Source organism: Homo sapiens, chromosome 10 (genome assembly GCF_000001405.40).
Source record: "Homo sapiens chromosome 10, GRCh38.p14 Primary Assembly".
In the NCBI taxonomy this organism is placed as follows: domain Eukaryota; kingdom Metazoa; phylum Chordata; class Mammalia; order Primates; family Hominidae; genus Homo; species Homo sapiens.
In genome coordinates, this window is record NC_000010.11 from 95,661,659 (window position 1) to 95,678,292 (window position 16,634).

The 16,634-nt window shown below is 38.6% G+C and overlaps 1 protein-coding gene across 8 annotated transcripts in view; it reads right to left on the minus strand.

Annotated features, from left to right (window-relative positions):
* TCTN3 (tectonic family member 3) overlaps positions 1,743-16,634 on the minus strand; it is a 30,527-nt gene continuing 15,635 nt past the window's right edge. For all 8 annotated transcript variants that reach the window (NM_001143973.2, XM_047425042.1, NM_001410982.1 and 5 more), the window contains one exon: positions 1,743-2,642. In NM_001143973.2, the coding sequence (NP_001137445.1) occupies positions 2,409-2,642 (234 nt within the window). In that variant the 3' untranslated portion in view covers positions 1,743-2,408. The remainder of the gene's footprint in view (positions 2,643-16,634) is intronic.

Consider the following 16,634-nt stretch of genomic DNA (forward strand, 5'->3'; position numbering starts at 1 on the left):
TGAGCATTTTCTTCTCATGAAGCAGGATTATAACTAAGTATATGCTGTATTAAAAGGCAATTTTAATTTCAGAGCATTAATATGCTGTGAAGAAAACCAAACTATCTCCCAATTCTGTCTGACTTTCAAGTCCCCACAAAAGGAGCTGCCATCCTGCTCATCTTGGCTGTTTGGCCCATTCAGTGTTTCTACTACAGTCACTTCAGGCCCTGAACCCTCCTGCCCATGAAAAACCCTGGGCCTTCATGAGGGTTGTTCTAGGCTCCTGGGATCACCTCCCTCCCACTCACTCTCCCAATCCTCTACATCCTGCCATGTTAGTTCCAAACTTGCCCCTCACTAGTCTAGGCCACACTGATTGTTTGCTTTTCTGAACAAATGTAGGCCACACTGATTGTTTGCTTTTCTGAACAAATGTAGTCTCCTGTGTTACGTCAATCTTCCCCCACTGAGTTGTTGGGTCACTGAGGAGCTGCACTTTACAATTCCACATTTCAGAGTTTCACTGAAGTTGTTCTAGTACATTCTATTCTTTAGATTCAATTCTTTGTAAAATGGATTTAAAGTTTAAAACAAGTAGATTTGATATCGTCCACCAAAAATTTGCCTTAATTACAAGGCTAGCATAATTCTGCTCCAGGGCTAAACCTTTTAATGTTTTCTATCATAGTTCCCAACCAATTCCTACCCGCCCAAGAATAATAGGAAATTACCTTGTTTTCTCTGCAAGCCAGAATCTCTGAATTGGCAGGGCAGGCAAGGCCCTTTGTAAGCTGCCACTGCCTGCTGCTAAAAAAAATAATTTTATGCTGAACTCACTAATGTCAGTCACAAAACTGGGGTCTTCAGAGTATATCTCCAAGGAAAAGAATCCAAGTCCCCTGATTTAAATGCTATGGTGTATTTATGGAAGTTTCATCCCTCCCTGCATACCCCCCACCCTTTTTTTGAGACAGTCTTGCTCTGTTGCCCAGGCTGGAGTACAGTGGCATGATCATGGCTTCCTGCAGCCTTGACTCCCTGGGCTCAAGTGATCCTCCCACCTCAGCTTCCTGAGTAGCTGGGACCACAAGTGTGTGCCACCATGCCTGGCTAAGCTTTTCTTTTTTTTAGATGGAGTTTCGCTCTTGTTGCCCAAGCTGGAGTGCAATGGCGCAATCTCGGCTCACTGCAACCTCCGCCTCCCTGGTTCAAGCGATTCTCCTGCCTCAGCTTCCTGAGTAGCTGGGATTACAGGCACCCACCACCATGCCTGGCTAATTTTTGTATTTTTATTAGAGATGGGGTTTCACCATGTTGGCCAGGCTGGTGTTGAACTCCTGACCTCATGATCCATCCACCTTGACCTCCCAAAGTGCTGGGATTACAGGCGTGAGCCACTGTGCCCGGCCAGCTTTTCATTTTTTGTAGAGATGGAGTCTTGCTACATTGCTCAGGCTGGTCTCGAACTCCTGACTTCAAGCAATCCTCTTGCCTCAGCCTCCCAAAGTGCTGGGATTACAGGCATGAGCCACTGTGGCCCGCCAGCTTTTCATTTTTTGTAGAGGTGGAGTCTTGCTACATTGCTCAGGCTGGTCTCAAACTCCTGACCTCAAGCAATCCTCTTGCCTCAGCCTCCCAAAGTGCTGGGATTACAGGAATGAGCCACTCTACCCGGACTTTTTTTCCCCAAACCTCACAAACATAGAAGCATAATCAGGAGGCAGACCACAGGTCAGCTGCCTTCTACCATGCTGCTGGAATTAGTACAACAAAGCTCTCAACCAGTTTTATTTTTCCTCACAATGAACGGAAGAAAAAGGCAGAAATAAATGGTAGGGTCATTTGCTAGTAGAAAAGAAAGCTGGGATTCCCCATTTACTTTGGAAACTGAGGAGAAAGAACTGCTTTCCCCACTCGTGTCTGGGCAAAGGGTGTGCCCAGATGTTGGCAAAGGAACCAGACAAAATCAACAGCCAGCAGTTTTCTGTTCCAAACAGTTAGCTCCTCTACAGTCCAGAGGGAAGCTATTCCTGAGTTCATTCAAGGTGACAGCAGAAGTGTTTCTCTCTTTCTGCTTGGCCCAACTGTGCCTGAGGGCTGATGGATCCAGACCTTGTAAACATTCAGCTAGGTGTAACATAACCAGAAAGGCTGAAGGAAGGCTCTTGGCCTTCCCAGCTTGAGAAGTAGGGGCCTCATGTGTATCTGGTGGCCTGCAGAGCCCAAAGCAGAGAGCTATGATGAATAAAATATTTTTATTGCTTTTCTAAAATAACTCCTTTCATATACAAGGATTCCTTCAGTTAGGTCCTCTATTATCCTAAATGCTCTCTGGTCATGAGCAGGTGAGGTTCTATTTAGCCAAGATAAGTGGCTGCCTCAGAGTTTCTCATAGGGAAAACTGAAATCTGATTATTTTCTTTTCTTCACATAGTCTCTAGGTTGAGAACTCCAAGTAGTAAGAGGCACAGGATAAGGATGGGAGAGACTGAGCATTTTTGAGAGAATACTCCTCTGCTGAATGCCACTTTGAAGGGAAAGAAGTCGAATGGCCATTTCCAGTCCATTTTGGGTTGGCCCCTTGGAGGCTGTGGCTTCTGGGTAATGTCCACAAAGTTCACAAGAGTTGTCAAAGATACTTCTGTAACTTGCTGAGAATCCTACGGGAAGAAAGTCAATGACAGGTCAGCGCTTGGTACCCATTCATATAGCACTCTAACTTGGCTGTTATTATTACTTTCCCTGAAGAGAGAAATGAATTATTCTAAGCAAGATATACCTTTATCTCATATTGGTCCTATGTAGTTCTCTTTCAGTGAGACACAAGGAAATGAATATCTTAGCAATAGTCAATGATAGCAGAACTGAACAGTTACACCTACCTAAACCCTGACTCTAGCTTCCCCTAGCTGGGGAGCTGCCTGATATCAGAGAGGCCACATGGCAAAACTGCTGCTCTTAGGTGCTTAGCAGCTCTACTCTATCAGAAGGCTCCAGGCTCTGAAACAGTACATATGTACAAGTGAAAGTAGTAGTAGCAATTCTATTCCTTCTCCAATGGCAGAAAGAAAGGTCACTCACAGACTCTCAGGGTTGGAAGGATCCTTCCACCACCCACCAATTCATGCCAAATAAAACAGATGTTCCTAGAAGAAGGGATCTTGTCAGACTGACTCAAGTATCTGACCTAACAGATGTAGCTTTGGTAGATATGGCTGCAGCCTGATGATGTCTGGAATCATGTTTATCTAAAATGAATTCCCTTTGTTTTGACTCAGCTCAACAAGCAAACTTTTGATTATAATTTTTGGACAGTAAATAATTATTTTGTTAAACTTGAAGATTTTCTTCAATCACCCTCCTTCACTCTGATGAACATATTATGCATTTGCTGTGGTCTTTGGCAACAGTAAGTACCAAGCTCTGGGAACATAGTTTTGCCTGGAATAACTCTCCTAGGGACTGTCACTTGATTGTTTGTTTTTAGAGACAGGGTCTTGCTCTGACACCCAGACTGGAGTGGAGTGGTGCAATCATCACTCACTGCAGCCTTGACCTCCTGGGCTCAAGTGATCCTCCTGCCTCAGCCTCCTGAGTAACTAAGACTATACGAGTGCACAACCACACCTGGCTAAATTTTTTTTTTGTGTGTGTGTGAGATGGAGTCTCACTCTGTCACCCAGGCTGAAGTGCAGTGACACAATCTTGGCTCACTGCAACCTCTGCCTCCCGGGTTCAAGTGATTCTCATGCCTCAGCCTCCCAAGTAGCTGGGATTATAGGCACCCATCACCATGCCTAGCTAATTTTTTTGTATTTTTAGTAGAGACGGGGTTTCACCATGTTGGCTGGGCTGGTCTCGAACTCCTGACCTCAAGTGATCTGCCCAGTTCAGCCTCCCAAAGTGCTGGGATTACAGGTGTGAGCCACTGCACCCGGCCTGGCTAATTTTTATTATTATATTTTTTTGTAGAGGCAGTTGTTAGTGTTGTCTATAAGTTGATTTAATAAATGTGCTATTCTAACTCATTTCAGAGCCTTTAGGAGGGCTTATTTGAAACTGCCCTCTCTGATGCATAATATGTGCATCAGAATGAAGGAGGGTGAATGAAGAAAATCTTCAAGTTTAACAAAATAGCTGTTTATAGTCCTAGGAAAATTTCCATGTTAATCTTGCTATGTTGCCCAGGCTGATCTCAAACACCTGGCCTCAAGTGATCCTCCTGCCTCAGCTTCCCAAAGTTTGTTTTTAAATGGGTATTGAGTCAGTCCTGTGCTAATCTTGCATTCAAATTAATTCTGTAGTTTTTTTTTTTTTTGAGATGGAGTCTTGCTCTGTCGCCCAGGCTGGAGTGCAGTGGCGTGATCTCGGCTCACTGCAAGCTCTGCCTCCCAGGTTCACGCCATTCTCCTGCCTCAGCCTCCCGAGTAGCTGGGACTACATGTGCCCACCATCACACCTGGCTAATTTTTTGTATTTTTGGTAGAGACAGGATTTCACAGTGTCCAGCCAGGATGGTCTCGATCTCCTGACCTAGTGATCTGCCCGCCTCGGCCTCCCAAAGTGCTGGGATTACAGGTGTGAGCCACCATGCCCAGCCTTTTTTTTTTTTTTTTAACATAGTGAGGCTCATGAGGGACTTGGCATAGGATAAATATAACTTCTGAGGCACTGAAAGAACCACATACATTACAAGGATGGCCAGCCTGGGCTGAAGCTGCCGAGGGATTCCTAACTCCAGCCAGGCATCGAAGACTGGCTGAGACTAATCAGAGAAAGAAAATGGATAAGAACATATTACCTATGAATAAATAATAAACTTTCTTTTGACTTAAACTTACAAAAGGATTTACTATTAGGACTTTAGTTTTCCTTCAGGAATTTTATAATGGGGAGAGGACATATATTCAATTTTTGGAGCAAATCTTTATAGCTGACATTATTGAAGCATGTTAATATTGTTATGTAAACTCACTGCAAAATGCCTGGTGACCTATACTGGCTGAAATGGTGAGAAATACTTTGGGATGGGAAACGGAATAGGGAATGATTTTTCAGCTATGGGTCAGTGTCGTCTAGAAGTTGATTGAATCAATGTGTTATTCTAAGTTATTTCAGAGCTTTTAGGAGGGGGGCAGATTTGAAACTGCCCACTAGCAGTCCCAGGAGAATTCCCAAAGGAGCTGTGGTTGGAATTGGGATAGTGGTCTCATGATGGAAGAGTGTGGTATTGAACACTGCTATACACCCAAATCATATCCACCTAGCATTAATTAGTAATAAAACTGATATTTGATTATCTTTATCTGACTCCTTTTAATTGGTTTCAAACTTAGGCAGGGAAAAAGAGTATCATTAGCCTCCTCAAACTCCCAAATCAGGGAATTTCTGTATCCTTGAGGTCATCCCATACCCAGAATTGAACTCTAATATAACTATTAACCCAAGAAGGCAAACCTTAGGCCAATGTCTGCTCAAGTATATATATTAATATCTTTCTAGTGGTGTTTCAGTGGCTGAGAAACCCCACATGACAAAAATTGTTCGAACTGAGTTGTTCTTTCGGAGTCACCCAGAATATGTGCTCATTAAGAGCTACTACTAGATTTGAAGACAGCAGCATAAAGACATGTCTTCTCCCTCTATATCTTAAAACCACTCCAATCCAACAAGAAACAGATACAAAAACTCCATGTTCACTGGAATGGGGAGACATCATAATATGCAAAAACAGAAAGCAGATGGCAGCAAGGTTTAACAGAGAGAAAGAAGGCCAAACCTGAAAGTTTTCAGAGACTAGATACAAGCAGATTTTCTCTGTGGAACTCTAAAGACTCAGTGACAGGAGGTAACAGAGGAAGGGATGAGGGGCAGATGGAAAATCATTACTGAATGATATCCCTTCAATGCAATCAGGCAACTATTCCTTCTCCCCCTCAACAAGAGACTAAACCACTTAAGCCAGAGAAATTCTGGATTCAGGGACATTGGGCATAAAGAAGGACAGAGTGAGGCATGGAATGAAAAATGGGGAATTATCCCTTCTCTAATTTAGCTCTAAAATGCTTACTTCATTTTAGATGAAGATGGTTTTACACCCATACCCTTCAGTCAGGAGACTAGAGTTTTCTCTGGAAAAAATTAACAGTTCCAGCAAAGACATAAAGATACTAACTGCTCCACAGTGAAGGCCACAAGTCAGTCAGTGTCACCCACAATCACAGAGCTTTCAGTCAGCTTAACAGCTTACTCTTATTTTGGATTGAGAGTTGAAGATTGACAAACATGCGGAAAGTTTCTCACAATAAAGAGAAAAACTGTACCAAATGAACAGAATAAACAACTCTGAGGAAACACAGACAATGAAAGATGAAGATGCAAAGTTGTTAGTATCTTCAGAGATACATGAAAAAAGATATTATGAAAAGAAACAGAATAAGACAGACCTTAGGTATTAAAAATCTGATGGCCAAAATAAAAAATTCAGTAAAAAAGTTAAAAGATAAAGTTGAGAATCTTTTTTAGGAAGAACAAAAAGATAAGGAGATAGACAACGAGAGAAAAGAAAAATAGAGATTCAATCTAGCGACACCCTAACAGATTAATAGGAGTGCCAAAAAAAAAAAAAAAAAGAGATATCAGAGAAAAGAGTGGGAAGGAAATTGTTAATCATGTAATAATAATAGAAAATTCTCAGAACTGAGTTTCAGAGTAAAAAATTTGGTATAATGAATGAAGAAAAGATCTACTCAAGGCATAAACTTTTGAAAACTTCAGACTATTAAGAATAAAAAGATCTTAAAATGGCTTCTGAACAGCAATATTGGAAACTAGAAGACAATGAAAGAATGCCTTCAAAATTGTGAGTGAAAATAATTTTCAATCTAGAATGTTCTATCTAACCAAATGATCATTTAAGCATAATGATGATGGATGATGATGATTGAATAAAGATATTTTCAGACAATGTGAACTAAAGAAAAAAAATACTTTACATGCATCTTCCCCCCCCAAATTATTAGACTCTAAGCTCCATAAATACAAGAGAATAAACCAAGAAAAAGGACGAAGTAGTGTCCAGTAAACAGTGAATCTAAGACAAGTAAGAATAATTCCCTAGATGGCAGTACAAGAAAGTCCCACGACCACTGCGGGGCAGCAACTAGTCCACACTACATCAGGTTATGGGGTTATGGAGGTCTCCATGAAGAAAATATGCAGGAAAATGTGGAACTGATAGATAATATGGCAAGTTCAACTATTTGAAAAACTGCATTGACAGAAATTTTACAGAGCTGTTGAAGAGTGTGAGAAGCCTTAGCTATTAGCTCAAAGAAAACTAAGAGTGAAATAGGTAATTATTAATTTCAGAAAAATAAAAAGTTCCACAAAAATTGAATACTTGCCGCAGCATGCATATTCACATAAACATCATGATGAAACATTGAATACTGATTTAATAATCTGATGCAAATACACTGGCAGAGTAGTGGGGGGGTAGGAGGAAAATAACCGACCTACAAAAATAGAAAGTCAATACATTATCTGTGAAACAGGTAAGTCAAGGATAACTAAGTGTTCAACAGCATAGTAGGGCGACTGTATTAATAACAATATATTGTGTATTTCAAAATAGCTAGAAGAGCAGATTTTAAATGTTCCCAACCACAAAGAAATGACAAATGTTCAAGGTGATGGGTATCCTAAATACCGATTTGATCATCACATAGTGTATGAATTTATCAAAATAACACATGGATCCTTGACTCCTTCCCCCTCAACCTCCACATCTACATAGCCAAGTCTTACCTGTGGCATCTCTAAATCTGAATTCTGTCACTTCTCAAAGCCCTCCAAACTCCCACCCAAGTTCAGGCCTTCAGTATCTGCTGGTGAATTTCTACACAGATTAGAACTGTTCACCTCAGGGGTGTCTCAGACCTTCCATGGATGATGTCTATCTGCTTCACCTCTCTATAACTAGTTCCAGGCATAGTACTTGGCACAGAGTAAGCACTCAATAAAGATTTTTTTTTTTAAACAAATGAGGGGAGATTTCTTTTGGAGGTAGGGAACTAACATAATAAGAGATTAATAAATCACAAAGTAGAAAGTATGTCACAGCTATTTAAGAGTTAGCAGGCCGGGCGCGGTGGCTCACGCCTGTAATCCCAGCACTTTGGGAGGCCGAGGCGGGCGGATCACGAGGTCAGGAGATCGAGACCATCCTGGCTAACACGGTGAAACCCCGTCTCTACTAAAAATACAAAAAATTAGCCGGGCGAGGTGGCGGGCGCCTGTAGTCCCAGCTACTCGGGAGGCTGAGGCAGGAGAATGGCGTGAACCCCAGGGGGCGGAGCCTGCAGTGAGCCGAGATTGCGCCACTGCACTCCAGCCTGGGCGACAGCGAGACTCCGTCTCAAAAAAAAAAAAAAAAAAAAAAAGAGTTAGCAGTTACAGATCTATTTGACCCTTTTTCCTTCCCATCACATGGTAATTAGGATCTTAATGGTTGTGCTTAATTAATTCATGTATTTATTAACAAATGTTTCAAATGAAATGTTTATTCTGCATTTATTTTTAAAATTGCCTCCATAATTGTATAGAAGTTTGGAGTAAATGCAGCCTAGTAGATACTCCAATTAAAAGGAGCTTACATTGCACTTACTAGGTAACCAGATAATACCAAATGTTATTGACCTACTTTATTTTATTTTTATTTTTATTTATTTATTAAGACAGGGTCTCACTCTGATTGCCCAGGCTGGAGTGCAGTGGTACAATCTTGGCTCACTGCAGCCTTGACCTCTTCTGGCTCAGGTGATTCTCCCACCTCAGCCTCCCAAGTAGCTGAGGCTCAGGCGTGTGCCACCTTGCACATCTAATTTTTTGTATATTTTTTTTTTTAGTAGAGATGGGGTTTTGCCATGTTACCCAGCCTGGTCTCAAATTCCTGGACTCAGGCAATCCATCCGCCTCCGCCTCCCAAAATGCTGGAATTACAAGTATGAGCCATCATGCCTGGCCTATTTTATTTTTTGAAACAGGGTCTCACTCTGTCGCCCAAGCTGGAGTGCAGTGGTACAAACACGGCTCACTGCACCCTCGACCTCTTAGAATCAAGCAATCCTCCCACCTCAGCCTCCTGAGTAGCTAGGAATACAGGTGCATGCCACCATGCCCAGCTAATTTTTTGATGTTTTGTAGAGATGGGGTCTCACTATGTTGCCTGGGCTGGTCTCGAATTCCTAGGCTCAAGTGATCCTCCCACCTCAGCCTGCCAAAGTGCTGAGATTACAGGTGTGCACCACTGCACCAGCCTATTGACCCATTTTAGAATTTGAGTTTTAGTATCACATGAAGAACAAGGTTCTTTGAGTATATTCAGTGTTTTATTTTGATTCTCAAGTCTAAATTTTTCCATTTGTGTTTTAAAAGTTATAGATAGGCAAAATTAGAGAATTCACTGTTTATTTAGTGTGTGCAACAGGAAGAGCACTGGGGAAAAATAACTCTCTCAAAATCTGGTCACCTCATTTCTTTTATCAAGACAGACAAAAGATACATAGCCCAGTCAGCACACTTCATTTACTGTGGGTCCAGTTCTGTTATGTATGGTTGACTTAATTTATTTCTACTTTAAGCTATATTTCATGATGTTTACTTAAGAAATTACCACCAGCAATTTTGTTTTAACACTTTGTAAAGTTTGGGGGGTTATTTGCTTCAATTCAATTTACAGTACAATAAAATCCTTTGTCCCAAAATAAGATTTACTTTGTAACAACATGAAGACTTGGATTAGGTTACGTTAGGCTTTGGTAATAAGAAGTACACCCTATACATTACATCTGTATGATCACGATTTTTAAACCATTATATGTTAATACCCTACGTAAAATCAGTACAAATAAAAACTATTAAAGAAAAAATTGTGGATACTAACTTTTAGGTGTGTTTTTGTAGCTGCATTCAGACTATCAACTAGAACAAATTCATCTTTGGTACAAGTGTCTAACTCATTAATGAGCTGTAAGAGTTCCTTATTTTACATATATAAGAACTTTATCAGACACATATATTACAGACTCAGGCGTGTGCCACCTTGCCCAGCTAATTTTTTGTATTTTTTTTTAGTAGAGACACGGTTTCACCATGTTGGTCAGGCTGGTCTCAAACTCCCAATCTCAGGTGATCCGCCCGCCTTGGTCTCCCAAAGTGCTGGGATTACAGGCGTGAGCCACTGTGCCTGGCCTCTCATGTTTTTTTAAATGTTTTTTTGTTTGGTTTTAATATTTTTGTTGAGGTATAATTTATAAACAATAAAATATATACATTTTAAATATTTAGTTCAATGAGTTTTGCCAATTATATATGCTTTATAGCCAATACGCAAAGCAAGGTCTGGAGTATGTCCATCATTTCAGAGCTCCTTCATGTCCCTTTCCAGTCTATTCTCTGTCCCTTTCCCAGAAGTAACCACTTTCTGACTTTTATCATTAAAAATTAATTATTATTATTGTGTGTGTGTGTCTGGCTTCTTTCACTAAAGATAAATGTTTCTGACGTTCATCTATGTTGTTTTGTGTATCAGTAATTCATTCTGTTTTACTGCTAAGTAGTATTCCATTGTGCGAATATATCATAATTTGCCCATTCTCCTCAAGATGGATATTTGGGTTGTTTCCAGTTTTGAGTGATTATGAATAGGGCTGTTATAAACTTCCTTGCACAAGCCTTTTTTGGGGCATATGTTTTAATGTCTCTTGGGTAAACACCTAGGAGTAAAATTGTGGATTCATAAGGAAGATGCATTTGTAAAAGTTTAGACCAATTTTCTTATCTACTAGCAATGTATGAGAATTCCAGTTGTTCTACATTCTTGGAACATGATTGTCAGTCTTTTTTGTTTTAGCCATTCTTGTGAGCATGAAGTAGTAGCGCACGGTTTTAATTTGCATATCTCTAATGATAATGATGTTGAATACCTTTCTATGTTTAATGATCAATTGTTTATCTCCATTTGTGAAGTATCTGTTCAAATCTTTTTTTTTTTTTTTTTTTTTTTTTAAGATGGAGTCTTGCTCTGTCGCCCAGGCTGGAGCGCAGTGGCATGATCTCGGCTCACTGCAATCTCTGCCTCCCAGGTTCAAGCAATTCTCGTGCCTCAGCCTCTGAAGTAGTTGGGACTACAGGCATGCGTCGCCATGCCCAGCAAATTTTTGTGTTTTTAGTAGAGATGGAGTTTCACCATGTTGGCCAGGCTGGTGTCAAACTCTTGACCTCAAGTGATCCGCTCATCTCAGCTTCTCAAAGTGCTGGGATTACAGGTGTGAGTGAGCCACTGCACCAGGCTGAAGTATCTGTTCAAATCTTTTGCCCATTTTTAGTTTGTCATTGTATTGTTTATTTGTAAAAGGTCTTTTTATATTCTAGATATGAGTCTTTTGTCAGATAAACTATTGAGAAACTTTTTCTCCCAAACTAGCCTGTTTTCTCATTTTCATAATGGTATCTTTTGGTGAGCAGAGATTTTTAATTTTGCTAAAGTCTAATTTATCAATTTTAAAGTTTATGGTCAATGATTTTTTTGTTTCTTGTCTAAGAAATCTTTGCTTTCTTCAAACTTACAGTCTCTTATGTTTCTTTTAGAAGCTTTATAATTCTGGATTTTATGTATTGGTCTATGATCCAGACATAAGTACTCTATGTATGGACTGAGATACAAGTTAGAGTTCATTTTTCCCCCATATGTTTACCCAGTAATTCCAGATTCATCCAGTTGTCCCAGCACCAACTTTTAAAAAATTTCAATAGTTTTTGAGGTACAGATGGTTTTTGGTTACAGGGATGAGCTCTTTAATAGTGAATTCTGAGATTTCAGCAGCACCAATTGTTAAAAAAAAAGAAACTTTTTTTTTTTCAGGGCAGGTGGCTCATGCCTGTAATCCCAGAACTTTGAGAGGCTAAGGTTGGAGGAACACTTGAGACCAGGAGTTTGAGACCATCCTGGGCAACATAGTGAGACTTCATCTCAACAAAATATTAAATAGTTGGGCATGGTGGCATGTGCCTGTAGTCCTAGCTACCTCGGGAGGCTGAGGCAGGAGGATCACTTGAGCCTAGGAATTCGAGGCTGCAGTGAACTATGATGGCACCACTTCACTCCAGCCTGGGCTGTAACACAATTTAAGACCCTGTCTCTAAGAAGTAAATAGATACATACTTTTTAAAATTTTTCCCATTGAATTGATGTGATTTATGAACCTATTTTTGAACTCTCTTCTGTCCCATTGGTCTGTCTATCTTTATACTAGAGTACCACTCTGTCTGAGATTTAGAGTAAGTCTTTAAATCAAGTACTGTAAGCCCTCCAACTTTGTTCTTTTTCAAAATTGTTTTGGCTATTCTAAGCCCTTAGCATTTCCATTTAAATTTTAGAATCAGCTCATCAATTTCTACAAAAATACCTTCTAGGATTTTATTGGGTCTGCATTAAATCTATAGATCCATTTGAGGATAGAAATCTTAATGTTAAGTCCTCTTCATGAACCATTTATTTAGATCTCCTTTATCTCAGTAATGTTTTATAGTGAAGAGGTCTTGCATCTTTTTGCTAAATTGTTCCTAAGTAATTTTTCCATGATATTGTAAATGAAACTGAATAAATTCATTTTTAAATAACATCTAGTTATTTTTAGAGTTTCCTAGTGACTTTAAGTTTAATTTTACAAAAGCAGTAAATAATAAAGTTAAAGAATATAAATAAAAATAATAAAACCATATTTCTACCGCTAAGAATACCATTATTAATATCTATATTTTATCTATACACACGGATATCCATATGTATATTTTTAACCACGAGATCATACTGTACAGGCTGTCTTGTAATCTACTTTAAAAAAAATAGTGTCTACCTTTTCATGTCAATAACATTTTTTTCCTATCTAAAATATAGTCCATATTCAAGTTTCCTTAACTATCCCAAAAGGTGCTTTACATTTCTTTGTCCAAATCAGACTCCTATCCAAAAACATAAACTGTATCTGTATGTTATATCTACAAGTCTCTTTTAATTTAACACAATCAGATATGGTGATTTCTATTATGAATGTTAGACTTTATTTAATAAAGCATATTTGACTCCAGCCAGAGTGACAGAGCGAGACCCCATCTCTAGAATGAATGAATGAATGAATGAATGAATGAATAAATAAAGTGTGTTGTAAATGTCCATGTAAAGGTAATTTTTCTTTAAATATCTCCATTTTTTTTTCCTTAGGGATAAACATATTTGAGAGAGAAGCTACTGAAAATCTTTAAATTCCCTAACTTATTTTAAAGATGTCAATGAAGTTATCCAAATTTTCAAAGGAGTCATTGAGAATGAATATGTTACAGGATAAAGGTGGTTAAATGTCATGTATCAGGGAGAGATTTCAAGTGGTTATATGTTTTATTTTATTTGAAACAGGGTCTCGCTCTTTTACCCATGTTGGAGTTCAGTGGCGCGATCTCGGCTCACTGCAACCTCCGCCTCTCGGGTTCAAGCAATTCTCCTGTCTCAGCCTCTGGAGTAGCTGGGATTACACGCGTGTGCCACCATGCCCAGCTAATTTTTGTATTTTCAATAGAGACAGGGTTTTGCCGTTTTGGCCAGACCGGTCTCAAACTCCTGACCTTAAGTGATCCATCTGTCTCGGCTTCCAAAGTGCTGGGATTACAGGTGTGAGCCACCATGCCTGGCCGGTTATATATTTTAACATAGGAAACATTAAGCAAACTTTGAAAAGTTCTTTTAAAAAAAAGGTAATAAAATAATTAAAAAATAAACCCCAGCTGAATGAACTAGGTCAGTTTCTTCAATGCTAGCTATTAGGAAACCACAGAAGGAGGCAAAGTACTTCTATAGTCTAATAGTTCATTAAGAGATAAAAGCAAATAGTGGTTGACTGATCCTTGTGAAAGAAAGATTTCAGTGACAGAAACTACTGAGTCATAGTTATTAAGTCTACTGGTGGTGCTGCAACTGTCCCTTATTGAAAGAGAAGTCAGTTAGTATTCTCCAAGACATTAACAAAAAGGAGAAAGAGAATCCCTTCTTACTAATCCTGTCACTTCCTAGCCCCTTCTACTGTAGCAATTATTTCTAAAATCTAATGTTGAATTACTCTTAATTATTGTTCCTTATCTTTCCTAGTATGCTGCCTGTTTAATTACAAGATTGTGGCAGAGGTTCTTAGCCTGGCTTCGAAAAATCAATAATCCCTGGAACAATATAAGGAATGTTGCATGTCTGCATTCTTCTAGTAAGTCAATAGTGTTAAATAGATTCTCTCAGTGGGGTCCATAAGATTCAGAACCACTAAGACAGACAGCTAGATTGGCAATTTTTCTAGCATATGTTATTTGACTGTGGTATAAAACATAGCCAACTTTCAATTATAATAAATAAAAGATGCTTATTAAATAAAACAATTAGTTATGAAATATAGTCAGAGATGTATCCTCTGAAAGTGTTTTTCAAATTGCAAATTGTGACCCACTAGTGGGTTTTGTCTAGCATTTAAAATACAAAAACAAACCAGAATAAACCAGAATAGAAAATATCTTTTTTTTTTTTTTTTTTGAGAAAAAGTCTTGCTCTGTCACCCAGGCTGGAGTGCAGTGGCAGGATCTTTGCTCACTGCAACCTCCGTCTCACGGGTTTGAGTAATTTCCAGGTAATTTTTGTATTTTTAGTAGAGACAGGGTTTCACCATGTTGGCCAGACTTGGTCTTGAACTCCTGAACTTAAGGGATCTGCCCACCTTGGCCTCCCAAAGTGCTAGGATTACAGGTGTGAGTCACCGCGCCCGGCCAGAAAATATCACATTTTCTGTTGTGATACTGAAAATCACAAATTGTGGGTGCACTGGGTATAGTAAGGGCATTGTTTCATAAAACTTTTGTGTCTATTTTATGTACATGTGTGTTGCAAACTCGGTCATGATATAAAATATATTTTCTTACCATGGGTGATAGTCAACAAAGGTTGAAAAACATTGCTTTAATACCTGCTTTTCTCTTTTCTGTTTTGCCTCAAAACTTCTTGATACGCTACTTCTATAGAAGCTTGGAACCAAAAAAGTTAATGATGATAAAATTGATAATAATGATATCAAGAGTAATATTTACTGAATATATACTACGTACCAGGAACTGTGCTGTTTTACTTTAATGATCTCACTTAATCTGTACAACCCAATGAGTATTATTAATTTCCATTTTATAGAAGAGAAAACAGATTTAGAGAAGTAAAATAACTTGATTTAGACCTAGGTCTGTCTGACTCAAAGCCCATGCTTACCATATAAACTGCAGACAATGGATCTCCTAGATAATCTAAAGAGTAGATGATTCACTTGGTGATAAACACAAATTAAATATTATAATTTTAGAAAGGTTTAGAGCCATGATCCTGTGATGCTACATTGTCTTTTAAATTCACTTATTGTTTTGGTTTCAATTGATACTGCATATTCCTTAAAACTAGTTGTTTCTTCCTAGAGATATATTTTTTAATTTAAAGGGTTTATATGTAGACATGACATATGATGTGTTTTATTAATTCTCAAATTTAAAGATCCCTTTAGAACCCTAAATAGTATAAAATTGTAAGTGGCAGAATACCATATAAACAAATGCTGTTTACCTCATGGGTTTGTTGTGAGAATTCAACACTTACAAAAAACACTGATTAAAAATACCACTAGTATCGGTCACACAGTAAATGTTCAATAAATGTTTATATATTATAATAATCATACAAGAAGATAGTGAAGTCTACAGTTTTTTTTGTTTTTTTTTTTTTTTTTTGCTGTATTTTCCCTCTATTTTATTGTTTGTCCTTGGGAATGGTCCAAAAATTTTGCTACTTCACTTTTTATAGAAAGAGGAATTTAAAGTGTTTCTATAGCTATATATTTACAATGAAAAATCATTCAGATAGTTCAGTTCACAATGCAACTGACCATCTAGCAGCTTGAGTTCAAGGTTTATAAACACAAATGCCTACCAGCCTAAGCAGATAACCTGAAAGAGAAGTGGGATGGTGAAGGGCGGGTTGGCTTAGGTTGTATGAATGCAGAACAGGGTAGAGTACTCTTTCTAAAAGTGGATATCACCATTCAGCAACTGAAGATTTTATGCCATGCAGGAATATAATAGGGTTTATACTGTCAGATTTTCAATTGAAGTCAGAAATCTGAATGTCTGGGAAATTCTTGATTCTTAAATGTTGGCATAAACTTAAATAATAAAATGCTTTGTGGGCCAAACAAAACAAGCCTATAGACTAAATGCAGTATATAGACTGGCAGTTTGCCACTCAGCTTTAGTTTTATCCTATCACTTAGATATTCTAAGCTGACCAACACAGCCTAGGTAAGAATATTATAAACTACAAACTTTCAAACAGTGTCCAGTGGAGTAGGGAGAAGCATCCCAGAAGATATACATTCTGCAAGTGTAACTCCTCCTCTTTTTTATTTTAAAAGCTTTGGAAGATGTACACTAGCTTTCTTTGGATAAGCTATTGCTATTCTGAGAAAAAAATTTCACAAGAGGCTGGGCGTGGTGGCTCACACCTGTAATCCCAGCACTTTGGG